General features: G+C 42.8%; 1 protein-coding gene across 1 annotated transcript in view; it reads right to left on the reverse strand.

The window, feature by feature from the left end:
- The window catches only part of MYO1E (myosin IE), a 240,438-nt gene that overhangs the window by 107,728 nt on the left and 116,353 nt on the right, over positions 1–16,357 (reverse strand). The window contains exon 4 of the mRNA NM_004998.4: positions 16,123–16,217. Within this exon, the coding sequence (NP_004989.2) occupies positions 16,123–16,217 (95 nt within the window). The remainder of the gene's footprint in view (positions 1–16,122; positions 16,218–16,357) is intronic.

Raw genomic sequence — 16,357 nt, forward strand, 5'->3', positions numbered from 1 at the left:
AATCGTCAGAGTACTTTTTAATTGCCCATGTCTGGGCCCGTCTTCTGACCTGCTGGATCCCAGTCTCCAGGGACAGAGTCTAGGAATAGGAATTTCTAACAAACTCCCTAGTTCTTGTATAGCCAGCTGGGAACAAGCCAAGCAATTTTAAATCAAAGTCATAACAGACTTTATAGGAAATATTAATTCAAATAGGAAGTATTGTAGAGTGTGTGTCTGTGTGTGGGGGGGGTCTGTGTACTAACTATAGAAATGGAAACATACGGTAAAATATCAACGAAATGGAAAGAATGTTCTGGGGAAAAAAAGCCATTTACAATGGTATAATCCAAGGACCATAATTATTTTTCTGAGAAAGGTTATTCCTCACTTAAAAGTCAATAGTATTTTCTATTCACTTCAACTTATTCAGCAAATGTAAAAATATTTCAGTTCTTTTTTATTTTGATTTTTTGAGATATTCCCTAAAATAAGTAGGATCCGCTGTTACCACTGTTGGACGACTCACCAATGCACCCCCATCCCCCATTTCTGATCTAAAAATCTCTCTCCTGGCTCTGTACCACAGGAACTGGTGTTCCCTTGTAACTGGCTGAATCAACGTAATTGAAATATCACTTTTCCAACTTTTTGTTTGTGGTTTAAAAAGGACAAACACTTAAAACAAAAATGATGTCTACTTTTGTTCATGCAACACACACTGTCTAACAACCCCCTCTGCCCCAGTGTGTTAAGCCGAAGGCCAGAATGAGATGTGGCTCCTGTCAGAGAAGAGCTCACTCACTGTCTTACAGGGAAGTCGAGTATACAAAGGCTATTAATAACACAGTGGAGATGTGGGTATGGCTTTAGGGATTTGGGGGTGGCAGCTATCCCTGATCAGAAGATTACTAAACGAAGTCACAACTAGTTACATCTCAATAAGGACAATCAAATCAGCCAGGTGTGTTGCGTGTGTGTATGTGTACTTGTGTGTATACATGTCAGGGGCTGGGATGAAGCCTGAGCCATACATAAGAGGCAAAAATTCTGTGGGGTACACATGAAGGGAACCATGGGTAGTTAAACAGGACTTGAGGAGACAGTGGCTCACACCTGTAATCTCAGCAATGTGGGAGGCCACGGGAGTTGGAGAACCAGCCTTAGCAAACAGCAAGATCTCGTTTCTTAAAAAGAACAAAAACAAAACCCCAAAACACAAAAGAAACAACAACTATAATAATAAAACAAATAAAAATAAAAACAATTGGCTGGGTGCAGTGGCTCACGCCTATAATCCCAGCACTTTGGGAGGCCAAGGCGGGTGGATCACCTTAAGTCAGGAGTTCAAGAGCAGCAAGAGCAGCCTGGCCGACATGGTAAAACCCCGTCTCTACTAAAAACACAAAAAAATTAGCCAGGTGTGGTGGCATGCGCCTGTAGTCCCAGCTGCTCAAGAGATCCGAGGCAGGAGAATCACTTGAACCTAGGGGACAGAGGTTGCAGTGAGCTGAGACTGCACGACTGCACTCCAGCCTCGGTGACAGAGCAAGACTCCATCTCAAAAATAAATAGATAAATAAATAAAAATAAAAATAAAAATTTTTAAATAAAAACAATTAAAAATAATTAGCTGGGTGTGGTAGTGTGCTCCTGTGGTCCTAGTTACTTTGGAGGCTGAGGTGGGAGGATTGTTTGAGTCCAGGAGGTTGAGGCTGCAGTGAGCTATTGTTGAGCTACTGCACTCCAGCCTGGGTAACAAAGTGAGATCCTGTCTCTAAAAAATAAAATAAAATAAAATAAAATAAACAAGTAAATAAATAATAGGCCTTGACTGTGATGTGGGAAGCTGGGAGGGGTAGGGAGTGGAGCTGGAAGGCAGTGCAGAGATCCAAGACAGTGACCTTGGGTTCAGGTTTGGGGATGCACCAAGGGTTCTGGCCTGTGCCATTTCGTGCTACATTTTATATAGACTCTAGACTTCCATTTTCTCAAGGCAGCATACCGACAAACTTGCCTTTACCTATACAGAACAACTGATATATTATTTACTTAGTTTTCAAAATTGACACACTTTTTGTTGGTCTCTGAATACTATTCTTCAATAAAAAGAACAAGGGCTGCTTTGGGAAATGACCAATGCCAGGGCTGGAGTGGGGAAAATTCAAACTGGGCGTGGAACATATAACTGTGCCAAAAGGTAAGGAAATGTACAGTGACTGGTGTGGACGTGTCAAGCATATAAGAGCCAGCTGGAAGGGGTTCCCACTGGCCAAATCAAAATAAGTAATGATAATAATGGATTACGATCCTTTGAATAAAATAGGAAGCCATAATTCCATAGTGCCATACGAAAGTAAACGAGTCAATCAGTAAATAGGAGAGAAAGGAAAGCTCTTCCTCACAGTGGAATACCAACTAATAAATGTGGAAGGAATGATGGAAACAGATATATCACCATTTGGCAGCCATCATACAGGTGTCCAGGAGTCATTAATGGATGCTAAGGCTGGTAGGTGGAGGTTTGGATGTGGAGAAGGATGTTGTCATGATCTGAGAATATATCCCCACAAAATACACATCCTAAAAGAAAATAAAATTAATTTAATGAGAAGAAACCTAGCAGATGCCTACAGAACCAGGTGATCAAGAGCCCTGCATTGTTTCTATGGTAGTCCAGCCTAGAATGCATGACCTGAGCCTGGTCACGAGGAAATGGGTAGACTCAGCCTGAAGTCATCCCACAAAATTTAATGCCTGAACTCTTTAAAGCTGTAAAGGGCAAAAAACATGGCAAACACAGAGAACAAGATAGAAAAGTCAGAGAGGTACACAGAGAAGCAGGAAGATGCATGTGGCTTCATGGGGGCCAACGGAGTTGGGATTAACCATGTCAATGTGTCAGGGAGATAAACAAGACAGTGGAAATTCCCACTGGACTTATTTAATTAGACCCTGCTTTTTTTTTTTTTTTTCAAATATAGAGAGATATAGTATTGAACACAACTCTTATTTCAAAAGGTATAACCCAAGGATTAAAAATATAGTGATAGTTTTTAAAAACCAATTTTTGTAATTCTAGAGTTATAAAAGATGAACGCAGTTGTTCATCTATTAAAACATAGTCTAGACGATGAGAAATAACATCAATTCCAAAGGAGGCTTGAAAGGAACACACTGAAATATTGTGGCTATGATAATTGGAGGTACGATGTGTTCATTGTGTGTATCATGCATGTCAGAGACTGTTATAAGTGCTTTACATGTGTCAATCACTTGGTCCACATAAGAGTCCTGTGTGGTAGGTGCTTTTATAATCTCCATTATTTGAAGTGAGAAAAGGTAAGAAACTTGCTGAAGGACACTTAGCTAGTGAGTGGAAGAGCTAGAAAAGGAGGTGAGAGAGTCTGTGTCAGGGGCAAGAGCTCTACTGCTCAGAGGACGGTAAACCTTTAAGACCCTCATATGGGTTGACTAGTCAATAAAAATCAACAAGGTTTCACAAAGGAACCCCATGAACAGCACAGTTCATAGTATCAGCAAACTTTTAGCTACTCCTGAGTCTTTACTGATACACACCCATTTAAGCAAGCCTTCTGCCAACAACATTTATTACCTCACGCAGAGTTGGAACTAACAAATAATAAATAGCCTACATCACTGTGATCATAAGACAAAGTAATTCTGCGAGAATGAGAAACCACATCAAAGAAGGTCCTGGACAGTCTTCTCCAATGGCTCAATTCACAGACTCCGCTTCCTGGCAGCCCTACTAGATCTGGAACAGAAACAAGTCGGAGGTGAAGCACATCTGGGAGGTTCCAGGGTCATGGAGAGAGGGGTCCTCCATCGGACTTTAGAATTACACTAAAAAACTAATTCTCAAATACATGCCATGGCTAATGGTATAAAAGACAAAAACAAACAGCCATGCTGAAACCACTGGCTAAATAAGACAAATTCATTCCTTAACAGATTGAGGAAAGTGTGAATAAGACCAACAGCTGTTATTTCTTCCCAACCCCAGACAAATATCTAGTTAATTGGTGTTGTCAAGCAAACAAAATTTTCACCTACTCTGCCAAGAATATGGATGGCCCCATGGCAATGCTCATCTTGGCCCAGCCTGATGCAGTCAGAGGAACCCAATGTTGAGTATGAAGACCAAGTTTGAGTCCCAGCCCAGCTACTTCCCAGCTCTGAAATTCCTTTGAATGTTACTAGCAGATCTTTTACATTACTCTTTAAGAGTTAAAAAATGTTTTCCATGTATATTTCCTCATTACACTTTCTTTATATTCCTTTAAGGTATAAATTCCCAATTTATAGATGAAGTAACTGAGGCTTGCAGGGGTCACACGCCTTAGACAGAGAGAATAGAGTCTACCCTATGACTCACCCCAGAGGTCTTTCCACTGCACCTCATGACTGAAAGTGGTAATGGATTATTAACCAGTTAACCTAACACCTGCTGGCTCAAAGCAGCAGAGAAAAGTATAAAGACTGCTGTATCGGAGGCGGGCAGCTCTGGCTGGGAGCACAACTTTGTCACATTTCAAATGCAAGATTTTAACAGTTTCATTACCTCTTTGAGACTCAGTTTCTTGATCTGCAAAAGTAGGGGACAGCAATACCTAGTTTGCTAGGCTGACGTAAAGATGAAAAATGATACAATTAAAAGGATGCAAAGCAAGTACTCGAAAAAGAGTTGCTGTTATGTTTATGGGTAATATATTAATTAGGCAGCCCTCCTGAATAGCACTCCTTGGCTGATGATAAAGGAATTTTAGCAACCAGACTAGAATGTAAGATTTGCAGAAAGCTTGGGGAACAGGGTCAATCTAGGCCCTTGCTCTTCAGATTTACAGCCAGCGGCAGCCCCATGCAACCCCGTCATAGTCAGAGGTATGGGCTGACAGGGCCTCCCAAAGCCAGGCCAGGGGGATGGCGAGGTCAAAGGCCGGTGCTGCTGGGATAAACAAGAAATTGGGTGGACCCACAGCAACTCAGGAGAGCCCTGAAAAGCGTCCCCATGCTAATAATAAAAGGTTCCTGAAATACATCAAAGGCAGGAAGATAGCTTGAGAATCCGGAGACACCTGATGGTGCCACAGCAAAGAGCACGAGAGACCCACGAGCCAAATATGAGCGGCACTGGGAATTTTTCCCTTTTATCTTTACTACTGCAAAAATTACATATTTCAAATCTAAAATATATGTTGAAGCACACGGGTCAGAAATCTTAGCTCCAGTGATGACTACTATCTCCTTTTCCTCTATGAAAACTCTCTTACTCAATCAGTCAGCAAATCCCACTGATGTACCTTCAAAATATCTCTCGCCTCTATTTATTATTTAAAAAAGTATTTATTTAGCTTCTATGCAGGATGCACCTGACAAAGACTTTGCAAACTGGTATTGGATATATTTAGGACAGATGGTCTACTCACCAGAAAACAACTGCGTCAGGATACTTCAAATAAAAAAAGTAGAAACAGCACCAAATGGGATGCTTTCCAATTGACATCATATTTTTTAAACAGCCTAAGGTGCAAGAGCTGATTTAGGCCAAAAGTGATAAGAATTCACTTTTGATGGCAGCAATAAAACTGCCACATAAATGTTCTCCAAGGCCCGATGATTCTCCATGGGTCAGTTGGCAAGGGCTTCAGAAATGCCTCTGGCCACATTGTCAAGATCTTGTCTGGTGATGGAGAGATGGTAGAGATCATGAACAAAGCTTGCCAGTTCTTCCTTTACCACATCATGACCTTTTTGTTAAACAGATTTGCAGAGATGTCTCTTGACATCCAAAGGTATCACATATGTGGTTTTAATGCACAAATCCAAATTCTGGATTTTGGAGAACAGATTAATGAGCTAAGCAGATATGGGTGGCTCATTTACTGGGCTCACAGGTACCTACCAAGCCTTCAGGTGCTCATTATCATTCTTTTTTTAAATTTTTTAAATTTTTAATCTTTTTTTATTTTTTGAGATAGAGTCTTGCTCTGTCATCCAGGCTGGAGTGCAGTGGTGCCATCTTGGCTCACTGCAACCTCTGCCTCCTGGGTTCAAGTGATTCTCCTGCCTCAGCTTTCCAAGTAGCTGGGATTACAGGTGCCTGCCACCACACCCAGCTAATTTTTATATTTTTAGTAGAGATGGGGTTTCACCATGTTGGCCAGGCTGGTCTCGAACTCCTGACCTCAGGTGATCTGCCCACCTGCTGGGATTACAGGCGTGAGCCACCATGCCCAGCTTCACTATCATTCTTAATGATGCTAATGTAGCTATTGCTGTTGCATTTTTCTGTTGGCACTGCCCAGAGTCTACCTTCACACTTGCCCATTCCTTTATTTCTTTACAGGCTTACTGAAAGTCATACGTCGGCTTCCTCCTCGCCTTTCTAACTCAGGTCAGGCCCTCACTGCTGCAATAGATTTCCATATTCCCTCAACATCCCATCTCTTTTCTACCAATAACCTTATCTTTTTGAACCAGGTGTCAGTGCTATCATGTCTCTGCTCAGAGGCCTGCTATAATATAGAAATAGGCCATAGAGAACCATGAAAAGAAGGGGAAGACTGAGCTCTGGCCCCCAGACAAATCCACTGGATAACAAGTCAGGTAAAATACAGAAACTGCCCAGGTATGGCCATTTGGTGTATAAATGCATCTTCACCTCTTGGTAAGAAATCAAAGCTAATGTGTCAATAAGGTCATGTTCTTCTGTTAACTAAGTCTGTGCGTCATTTATCCTCCGTTGATGACAAGCCCAATCATCATCCTCCTGGGTATGCAGAGAGCATCACGGCCAACAATGACAAAGGGTTAGTTTTAAAAAGCACCTGAGTCCAGCCTGGGCAACATAAGAAGACCCTGTCGCTACAAAAAATTTAAAAATTAGCCAGGCATGATGGTGCGCATCTGTGGTCCCAGCTACTCGCGAGGCTGAGGTGGGAGGATCGCTTGAGCCTGAGAGGCGGAGGTTGCAGTGTGTTGAAATTGTGCCACTGCACTCCAGCCTAGGTGACAGAGCGAGACTCTTTTTCAAAAACTAAAATAAAAAAGCACCTGTATTTGTGGGGACAGAGTGAGAGACTTTAATCCTAGGAGCTCAAGTCCAGGGGTAACTAACCTGGCGAACCTGTCCTGACCTCTGTCCTATGGTATATGGTAGCTATTACATCTCCATTAAAATATGGGAAATTTGAGACCTAGAGAGACATCACTGCTAATAGGTATAAAGAAAGTGCATAAGGTTTGAAGTCAGACAGGGCTAAATTCAAATAGAGGCTCTGCCATCTACTAGTTTTGGATCTTGGAATTCTCTTAAGCCTCATTTTTTAGATGCAGCTTCAAAAAACAATGCCAACAGAGTGGTAAGGATTAAGAGACAACCTATACGAAAGCAACCAGCAGAGGGCAGGCACTCAGGAAGTCTATCTTGCGGGGTCTGATGGTGCTAACAGCAAGAGGTGACCTGAAATCAGGATTTCAAGAGCCTTAGCCCTGGCTTTTAAGCAGAGTGAGCTGGGGGAGCTTGAAAAAAGGTATTAATGCTCCAAGGCCACCACAAATCAGTTGAAACAGAATCTCTGGAGGTGGAGCCTACATATCTGTAGAGCCACTGAACTAGTAAGGCAATTCAGGAATCAGAAATACTTATCCCTAGAAAGTTAAATTGGTGAACCTAGGCCAGCCATGGCAGCTCACGCCTATAATCAGAGCACTTTGGGAGGCTGAGGCAGGCAGATCACTTGAGGTCAGGGGTTCAAGACCAGCCTGGCCAACAGGGCGAAACCCCTTCTATACTAAAAAATACAAACAAAAAATTAGCCAGGTGTCATGGCACACCCCTGTAATCCCAGCTACTCAGAAGGCTGAGGCAAGAGAATCACTTGAACCCAGGAAGCACAGGTTGTGGTGAGCCAAGAGTGTGCCACTGCACTCCAGCTTGGGTGACAGAATGAGACTCCGTCTCAAAAAAAAAAAAAAAAAAAAAAAAAAAGATAAATTAGTGAACACAAGGCATGGTAGATAAAATTAGCATCTATAGGCCGGGTGCGGTGGCTCATAACTGTAATCCTAGCATTTTGGGCGGCCAAGGCAGGTGGATCACTTGAGGTCTGGAGCTCATAACCAGCCTGGCCAACATGGTGAAACCCTGTCTCTACTAAAAATACAAAAAAATTAGCCAGGCAAGGTGGTGGGCGCCTGTAGTCCCAGCTACTTGGGATGCTGAGGCAGGAGAATCGCTTGAACCCGGGGGGATGGAGGTTGCAGTGAGCCGAGATCACACCACTGAACTCCAGCCTGAACGACAGGGTGAGACTCCATCTCAAAAAAAAAAAAAAAAAAAAAAAAGTTAGCATCCATAGAAGCCACTCTTCCTGATTTGTCTGCCAGTGGGCTGAGGAGGAAGGCATAGGAAATATCCAAGGTCAACCCCAGGTGTTTATTCCTTACTAGAAGTTGGCCTAATAGACATCAGGGCTTGGCAGGAGAGAGTGTAGGTTAATGAAAGGGGGTTGACTTACAGCAGAGTCAGGACAGGAAAGTAAACAGCAGAGATGGGGGGTTTTCTCCAAGTAAAAAGACTGTTCTGCAGACTAGAGCAACACCCTTAGTTCATGTGTTCACATCTTCAGATAGAGGTGACTGCTGTGAGCTGATTTAGCAAATACGATCATCCCTTCGCTCAGAATTCACCCCTCTATCCAGCGTTCTCGTGGTAATCTAGCTCCCTTCGTGGACTGTGTTCCAGGGCACATAATCGGCTGTCCACAGGCAGAATTCTGCCTATGCAATAATGAATTGGGGTCTGATTCACACTTCCTTGTGAGTTTGCTTGGCAAGTCAGTCTACCCAAGGCTGCTCAACTCCAGCTGTTTTGACAAATCAAGTTTGTAGATGGACCTAGGCTTCCATGGAGCCCTGTGCTTGAGAAAGCAGCACGTCTCCTTCCTTGATTTATTTCTTTCAAAATCCACTTTGTGGCCAGGCGCGGTGGCTCACGCCTGTAATCCCAGCACTTTGGGAGGCTGAGGCGGGTGGATCACGAGATCAAGAGATCAAGACCACCCTGGCCAACATGGTGAAACCCAGTCTCTACTAAAAATACAAAAAAAATTAGCTGGGTGTGGTGGCAGGTGCCTGTAGTCCCAGCTACTCAGAAGGCTGAGGCAAGAAAATCACTTGTACCTGGGAGGCAGAGGTTGCAGTGAGCTGAGATCACGCCATTGCACTCCAGCCTGGTGACAGAGCAAGACTCTGTCTCAAAAAAAAAAAAAAAATCCGATTTGTTACACTCATTTCTAGTCTTGAAATGGTCAGGTGCCTGTCCATCCTGTCACCGTATCCACTGCGTTGGAAAATATGAGTAAGACTGACAGGAAACTAGAAACGCCGCCTTTATGGGCTGCATTATGCCATCTAAAGTGTCATTTAGACAAAGTCACACCAGGGAAACTGGGAGGTGGAAGTCTAAAACACCACCATAGAAATTAGGTCATCGCTCACTTTTTATTTCCTAATTAAATGACACTAAAGATTCCTAGTCTTTCCAGCCATGCCAGAATCCCTTAGCATGAGGAGCAGGCTTCTCTTCCAGCCTCCAAGAAAATGGTTTTTTCGTTTGTTTTCTGCTCACAAACACATTTTAAAAGGCACCATTCAACTCGGCCCCTAACAGATGGAGCACCTGCCCCATCCAGTGTCAGGGGCTACAAACTTGGCCTTTCCACCCAGAACAGGATTTCCCTGCCTTTCCTCCTCTCCAACATTATTTGGAAGGAAGAGTTCCAAAACCAGTTCCTTCACAGGTGAAAAAGCCAAGGCCCAGACAGGTGTGAGGCGTGCTGCCCAGGGTCAGGTGAGCATGAACCACGGCATGCCAGAGGTTTCCAATTTGCTTTCTCAAAGCAGACAAACCACAGCCCTGGTGCAGAAGAGAATTAACTCAAGGGCTCAGGCTTTTGCCCTCGGTGACTGGGCGGTGATGTCTATGCCCCTGGAATGTCCTACCTAAGAGGAGTGCTTTTCCTTTCTTGGGGGCTTTGACCATAGGAGAGTCTGACGATATGATTTATGTCGGGGGCTTTGGGACATACCATCGCAATTCTGACCTCCAACTGGAAACTAAAGGCATTTGCACAAGCCTTCGAGAGCAGCTGGAAACTGAAGGTGGGCCAGGCAGGCGGTGCGTGATCGAGGCCAAACATCAGAGGCTCAGGTGATGTTTTCTGGTCGGCAATACTGTGAGTATTGTCACACCTCATACCGGTAGGAGGTAGCGCTGTCCATGACTCCACAGGGAGAGGAAAACCAGAAACTCCACCTCGGGACCCTCCCAGACCTCGCCCTCAACCTCTTTTGTTTGGCTTTAATTTGTATCCTCCTTTTGCCAGAACGAAACTGTAATCCTAAGTGTAGGGCTTTTCTGAGTTTTGTGAGTTGTTCTAGTGAACTACTGAACCTGGCGGGGGCGGGGGGTAGTGGGAACCCCTGAATTGATGAGGGTGGCCTGGGGAGCCCTGAACATGCAGCTGATGTCTGCAGGGTGGGCAGTCTACCGAGGAGGCCTGTGTCCTTAACCTGGAGTTTGGCCCAACTCCAGGTAGCTCCTAAATTAAAGCACATCTCCTAAATGAAAACACAGCCACTGCAACAGAAATCCTTGGGAGCAGGTCCTTGAAATCTCTGCCACCTGAACAGCTGGAAACAAGGATCTGAAGTGGGCATCATCCCGCTTCAGTGCAGGTGGACCTTGCAGTGCAGGTGGAGGGAGACACGTGGGCTGCAGAAGACTGAGGGGGCCTCCAGACTAGCAAGCTCATGTAAGAAGACCATTCCCATCCCACTCGTTTTGGCACACACCCAGAAGAGGGAAAATGTGAGGAAAGAGAAAGGGCAGAGGACTCTATCAGAAAACTCATCCTGGACCCTCATTAAATTCCAGCTAGGAAAATACCTCCTGCCTCTCTAGTAGTCGGTGACCTCCGCTTAGTATCAAACAGAAGCATTTCCTATTAAGCAACCAAATTCAACATGACCCAGGTGTTCCTCCTCATAAAATTTAACTTGCACCTGCATCTGATCAAGTCATTAGATATAACCTTAAACTTGTAGAAAATCCAACTGAAGGAATAAGTATAGTGAGACCAGGAAGAAGCAATTAGACAAATGTAAATGATGTCTGTAGGAAAACTAGTTTTGGTCTCTTCAAAAAGTCAGTGTCATGAAAAAAAACAGCAGTAATAGGGCAATTGTGGTAGGATAAAAATAAATTTATGATTCATAACCAAATGCAGTCAGCGTTACTTGATTTGCATAAACCAGCAGAAAAGGACGTTTGCGACTATTAGAGAAGTTTGAAGTTTTTAGATGATGTTGAAAATGTACTATTAATTACTGAGTTATGATAATGGTCTTCGGATCAGTAAGAAAATGTTTCAATTTCTCAGAGATGCATGTGGAAATATTTAGGGGTAAAATGTCATGAAGTCTATATTTACCTCCAAATACTTCAGATATGTATTTACCTTGAAATGCTTCAGTGCTCATGTTTTGCAGTACTGACTTGGGAACCATGTAAATGTTTTGCATAATTATAAAAACAAAATTACATTTAAAAATGCAAAACAACTGAAATTGTAAATGAAATAAATGAACCCAACTGTAGGTCAGGTTGACATAGAAAAGGATTATTTTAAGTGACTTTTATGAAACCCAGTATTTTGACTGCAAATATTGGATATTTGGACAAAAACCAGAAAAGAAATTTTAAAATGAATTCAGTATTGCTACTAATAATATTGGTATTGTTACTTTAACAGCATTAACAAACTTATTCTATCTGTCTAAAACGCATACAATGCAATGCAAATAATTGCTAATGTAATCAGGAACTAAGATTGTTCAGCATAAGATAAATGGGATACAAAAATTAAAATCAAAGAAATAAAAACTCTGAAATCTTAAAAATTAATTGAAAACAGTTAATTTTTCAACTTCATTTTTCTCTTAAAAAGCTCATATTCCCTAGCTTTGTACTTTTAAAGAACTATAGGCACTGAAAACACAGGGCAGTGAGCACTCTTGGTGTCTAGTTTAGTGGTCTCTTAATGCCATTTCCCATTAAAATGAACCAAGGCCTAGCGGGGTGCGGTGCCTCGTGCCTGTAATCCCAGCACTTTCGGAAGCTGAGGTAGGCAGATAACTTGAGGTCAGGAGTTCAAGACCAGCCTGGCTAACATGGTGAAACCCTGTCTACTAAAAATGCAAAAGAGGCTGGGTGCAGTGGCTCATGCCTGTAATCCTAGCAATTTGGGAGGCTAAGACAGGCGGATTACCTGAGGTCAGGAGTTTGAGACCAGCCTGGCCAACATGGGGAAACCCCGTCTCTACTGAAAATACAAAAATTAGCCAGATGTGGTGGCGTGTGCCTGTAATCCCAGCTACTCGGGAGGCTGAGGCAGGAGAACTGCTTGAACCCAGGAGGCGGAGGTTGCAATGAGCCAAGATCGTGCCACTGCACTCCAGCCTGGGCGACAGAGTGAGACTCTGTCTCAAAAAAAAAAAAAAGCGAAAGAATTAGCCAGGCATGGTGGTGCATGCCTTAACCCCAGCCACTCAGGAGGCTGAGGCAGGAGAATCGCTTGAACCCAGGAGGCGGAGGTTGCGGTGAGCTGAGATCACACCACTGCACTCCAGCCTGGATGACAGAATGAGACTTGGTCTCAAAAGAAAAGGAAAAGCAAAGGAAAAAGAAAAGAACCAAGGCCCCTGAAGAGACTGTGGATTCTACGCAGGAAATATACAAGATGAGCTAGAAGATCTTAAAGAAGGAAACCAACAGAGCCTACTGCGGTCATGTCCAAAGGACATAAGAGCTAAGAAAAAAGAGTGTCACTGTTCAACAACAGGATCATTTCAGCCTTGAAAAGTATAACTGCAATGTAAACAGGTACAATATTAAAAGTCCACTAGTTTGAGTAATACTGAAAATAAAACACATCACCTTGGGAGACTGCTAGGGCAACAATTAATTGTTTTGAAAATAGGTGAGTAATGGCAGTGAATCCAGTGTTTTGTCTAATTTTCCCACATAGTTTTTATTTGAAGGTGACCAAGCAAAAGAACTAATAACTGCAGAAAAATAATAGAATTAGAAAACAACGATTTTTCAACCACTAATTAAACAATGGCTCTGAAATGATTTATAACAGACGGGTTCACTGACAATCTGGACACACGAAGAGAGAGCAACAGGCATGAAGTGCACAGCATCACTGATGAAGTTTCCTTTGCCAAAAACGGAATCTGAGTCTGATCGAGTTTTTTTTTTTTTTTTTTTGAGACAGAGTCTCACTCTGTCGCCAGGCTTGAGTGCAGTGGCGCAATCTCAGCTCACTGAAAACTCTGCTTCCTGGGTTCAAGCGATTTCCCTGCCTCAGCCTCCCAAGTAGCTGGGACTACAGGCATGCGCCGCCATGCCCGGCTAATTTTTTGTATTTTAGTAGAGATGGGGTTTCACCATGTTGGCCAGGATGGTCTTGATCTCCTGACCTCGTAATCTGCCCACCCAAGAGTGCTGGGATCACAGGTGTGAACCACCACTCCCGGCGTCTAATGAAGTTTTTAGATATAACTATTAATTTACAGAAAATGTAGGGGACAATGGAATACTTAAGCAACATCATAGGATACAATTAGGCAATGCCAGACTGTATAGTAAGATCTACAGGACAAACAACCTTTTTTTTTTTTTTTTAACAAAGCCAAGAAAACAAAAAGGGGAAGGGAAAATTGTTAAAGACCGAGACACCTAAGAGACACAGCAACCAGGTGCGGTGTGTAGGCCTTGTTTGGATCCTAAATAAAAATAAACCAACTATAAAAAAGAATTTATAGGAAAATCATGGAATTGGAATACTGATATTAGATACTATAAAAGAATTCTTCCTGTTTAAGGTGTGATAAGAATGATTTCTTAGAGGCACATACTAATTATTGAGGAATAAAGGGGATCTTTGGGTTTGCTTTATTAAAAAAACAAAACAAAACAAAACACCATCTCTGTCGCCTGGCTAGAGTGCAGTGGTTCAAGCACAGCTCACTGTAATCTCAAACTCCTGAGCTCAAGCGATCTCCCTGCCTCAGCCTCCCTAGTAGCTAGGGCTACAGGTGTGCACCACCACACCCAGCTAATTAAAAAAACTTTTTTATGGAGACAGGGTTTGCTATGTTGTCCGGGCTGATCTCCAATTCCTGGCCTCAAGTGATCCTCCTGCCCCCTGGCTTCCCAAAGTGCTAGTATTACATATACTCTTTTCTTGACCTTGGAAATGAATCTACTGCCATGCCCTGCCAGATTTGCTTTAAGTAATCAAGTGGGACAGAATGGGAGGACCAAATAAAACAGAATTGGCCATATACTGACAACAGTGCAAAATGGATAATAGATATACAGGGACACATTCTACTATTCTTTCTCATTTTGTGTATATTTGTAATTATCCACAATAAAAGGTTTTTTTTTTCCCAAAAATGTCTCAGAAAAATTAACTAAAAAAGATGAACACAAATACGTATGATAAGATTGTGAACTGTCAAATTCTAGGTGATGAGAATATGGATGCTTATACTTTCTAGTGTTTGAAAATATTCACAATAGTAAGCAGAGCTTTTTTTTTTCTTGATATGGAGTCTCAGTCTGTCGCCCAGGCTGGACTGCAGTGGCGTGATCTTGGCTCACTGCAGCTTCCGCCTCCTGGGTTCAAGTGATTCTCCTGCCTCAGCCTCCTGAGTATCTGGGACTACAGGCATGTACCACCACACCTGGCTAATTTTTGTATTTTTAGTAGAGACAGGGTTTCCCCATGTTGCCAAGGCTGGTCTTGAACTCCTGACTTCAAGTGATCTGCCTGTCTCAGCCTCCACTAAGGTATAAGCCTTTTTTTTTGGTTTGGTTTGGTTTGGTTTTTTTGAGACAGGGTCTTGCTCTGTTACCCAGGCTGGAATGCAATGGCACAATCTCAGCTCAATGCAGCCTTGACTTCCCTGGCTCAAGTGATCCTCCCCACTCAGCCTCCTCAGTAGCTGGGACTACAGACAAATGACACCAGACGCCTGGCTAATTTTTATATTTTTTTGTAGAGATGGGGTTTCGCCATGTTGCCCAGGCTGGTCTCAAACTCTGCGGCTTACAGGTGTGAGCCACCCCAACTGGAGTTAGTAAGCAGAATTTTATTTTATTATTTTTTTTCAAGATGGAGTCTCACTCTGTCACTCAGGCTGGAGTACAGTGGCACGATCTCAGCTCACTGCAACCTCCTCATCCCAGGCTCAAGCGATTCTCCCACCTCAGTCTCCCTAGTATCTGGGATTAGAGGCGTGCGCCACCATGCCCAGCTAATTTTTGTAAATAAGCAGAATTTTAAAAGCACTTAAGGCAGGAGTATCCAATCTTTTGGCTTCCCTGGGCCACACTGGAAGAAGAAGAATTGTCTTGGGCCACACATAAAATACACTAACACAAACGATAGCTGAAGAGCTTAAAAAAAATTGCAAAAAAATCTCATAATGTTTTAAGAAAGTTTACGAATTTGCTTTGGGCCACACTGAAAGCTGTCCTAGGCCGCATGTGGCCCATGGCCTGCAGCCCACAGGTTGGACAAGCTTGACTTAAACCCAGCCAGGATTCAGAGCCATGTCAGACTAGAGGGATTATGAAATGTGGCTACAGACACCTAATGCTGGCAATTACCAGTAATCTTCCCCCAAATTCAATGCAAATGACAAAGTTCACCAAAAATGTTCAAACATGAACTACTAAATTATGAAGGGAATGAAAAAATAGGGACCTACAGAAAAGGAATTCATCTGACTAAACAGTGAAAACATGTTTATTATACTTACTGCAATCCCATGGAAGCTCAAAAGTTTTATGATATGGAGCTCTATTATATAGAGTTATAAATAAAGCAAGATAAAGCAGCTAACCTGCTTGCTACTCAGACACATTAACCAGGCTGTGACATCAGTAGCTGTTGCAAAACCACTGCTTATCGACCGAAATCCATAACCACAGCATAGTCTCATATCTTCCACGCCCACTGATAAGGATCTTCTTCATACCTGATAATGACGCACTGGTTCTCTCTGTCAATGATCATGTTTCTGTACATATTATCTGCAAGGGCATAGATATGTGGTGGGTTTTCATACTGTGCCTAGAAAAGCAAAAAATAATAATACATAAATAATAATAAAAATTTAAAAATAAAAACAAAATCATGGTCAGATAGGCAATACACTCAATTTCTTTTCCTGAATTTGGAAACGAATCGTGCACTATAGTTCCAATGCCTAT

This window comes from Homo sapiens, chromosome 15 (assembly GCF_000001405.40).
Source record: "Homo sapiens chromosome 15, GRCh38.p14 Primary Assembly".
Lineage (NCBI taxonomy): Eukaryota > Metazoa > Chordata > Mammalia > Primates > Hominidae > Homo > Homo sapiens.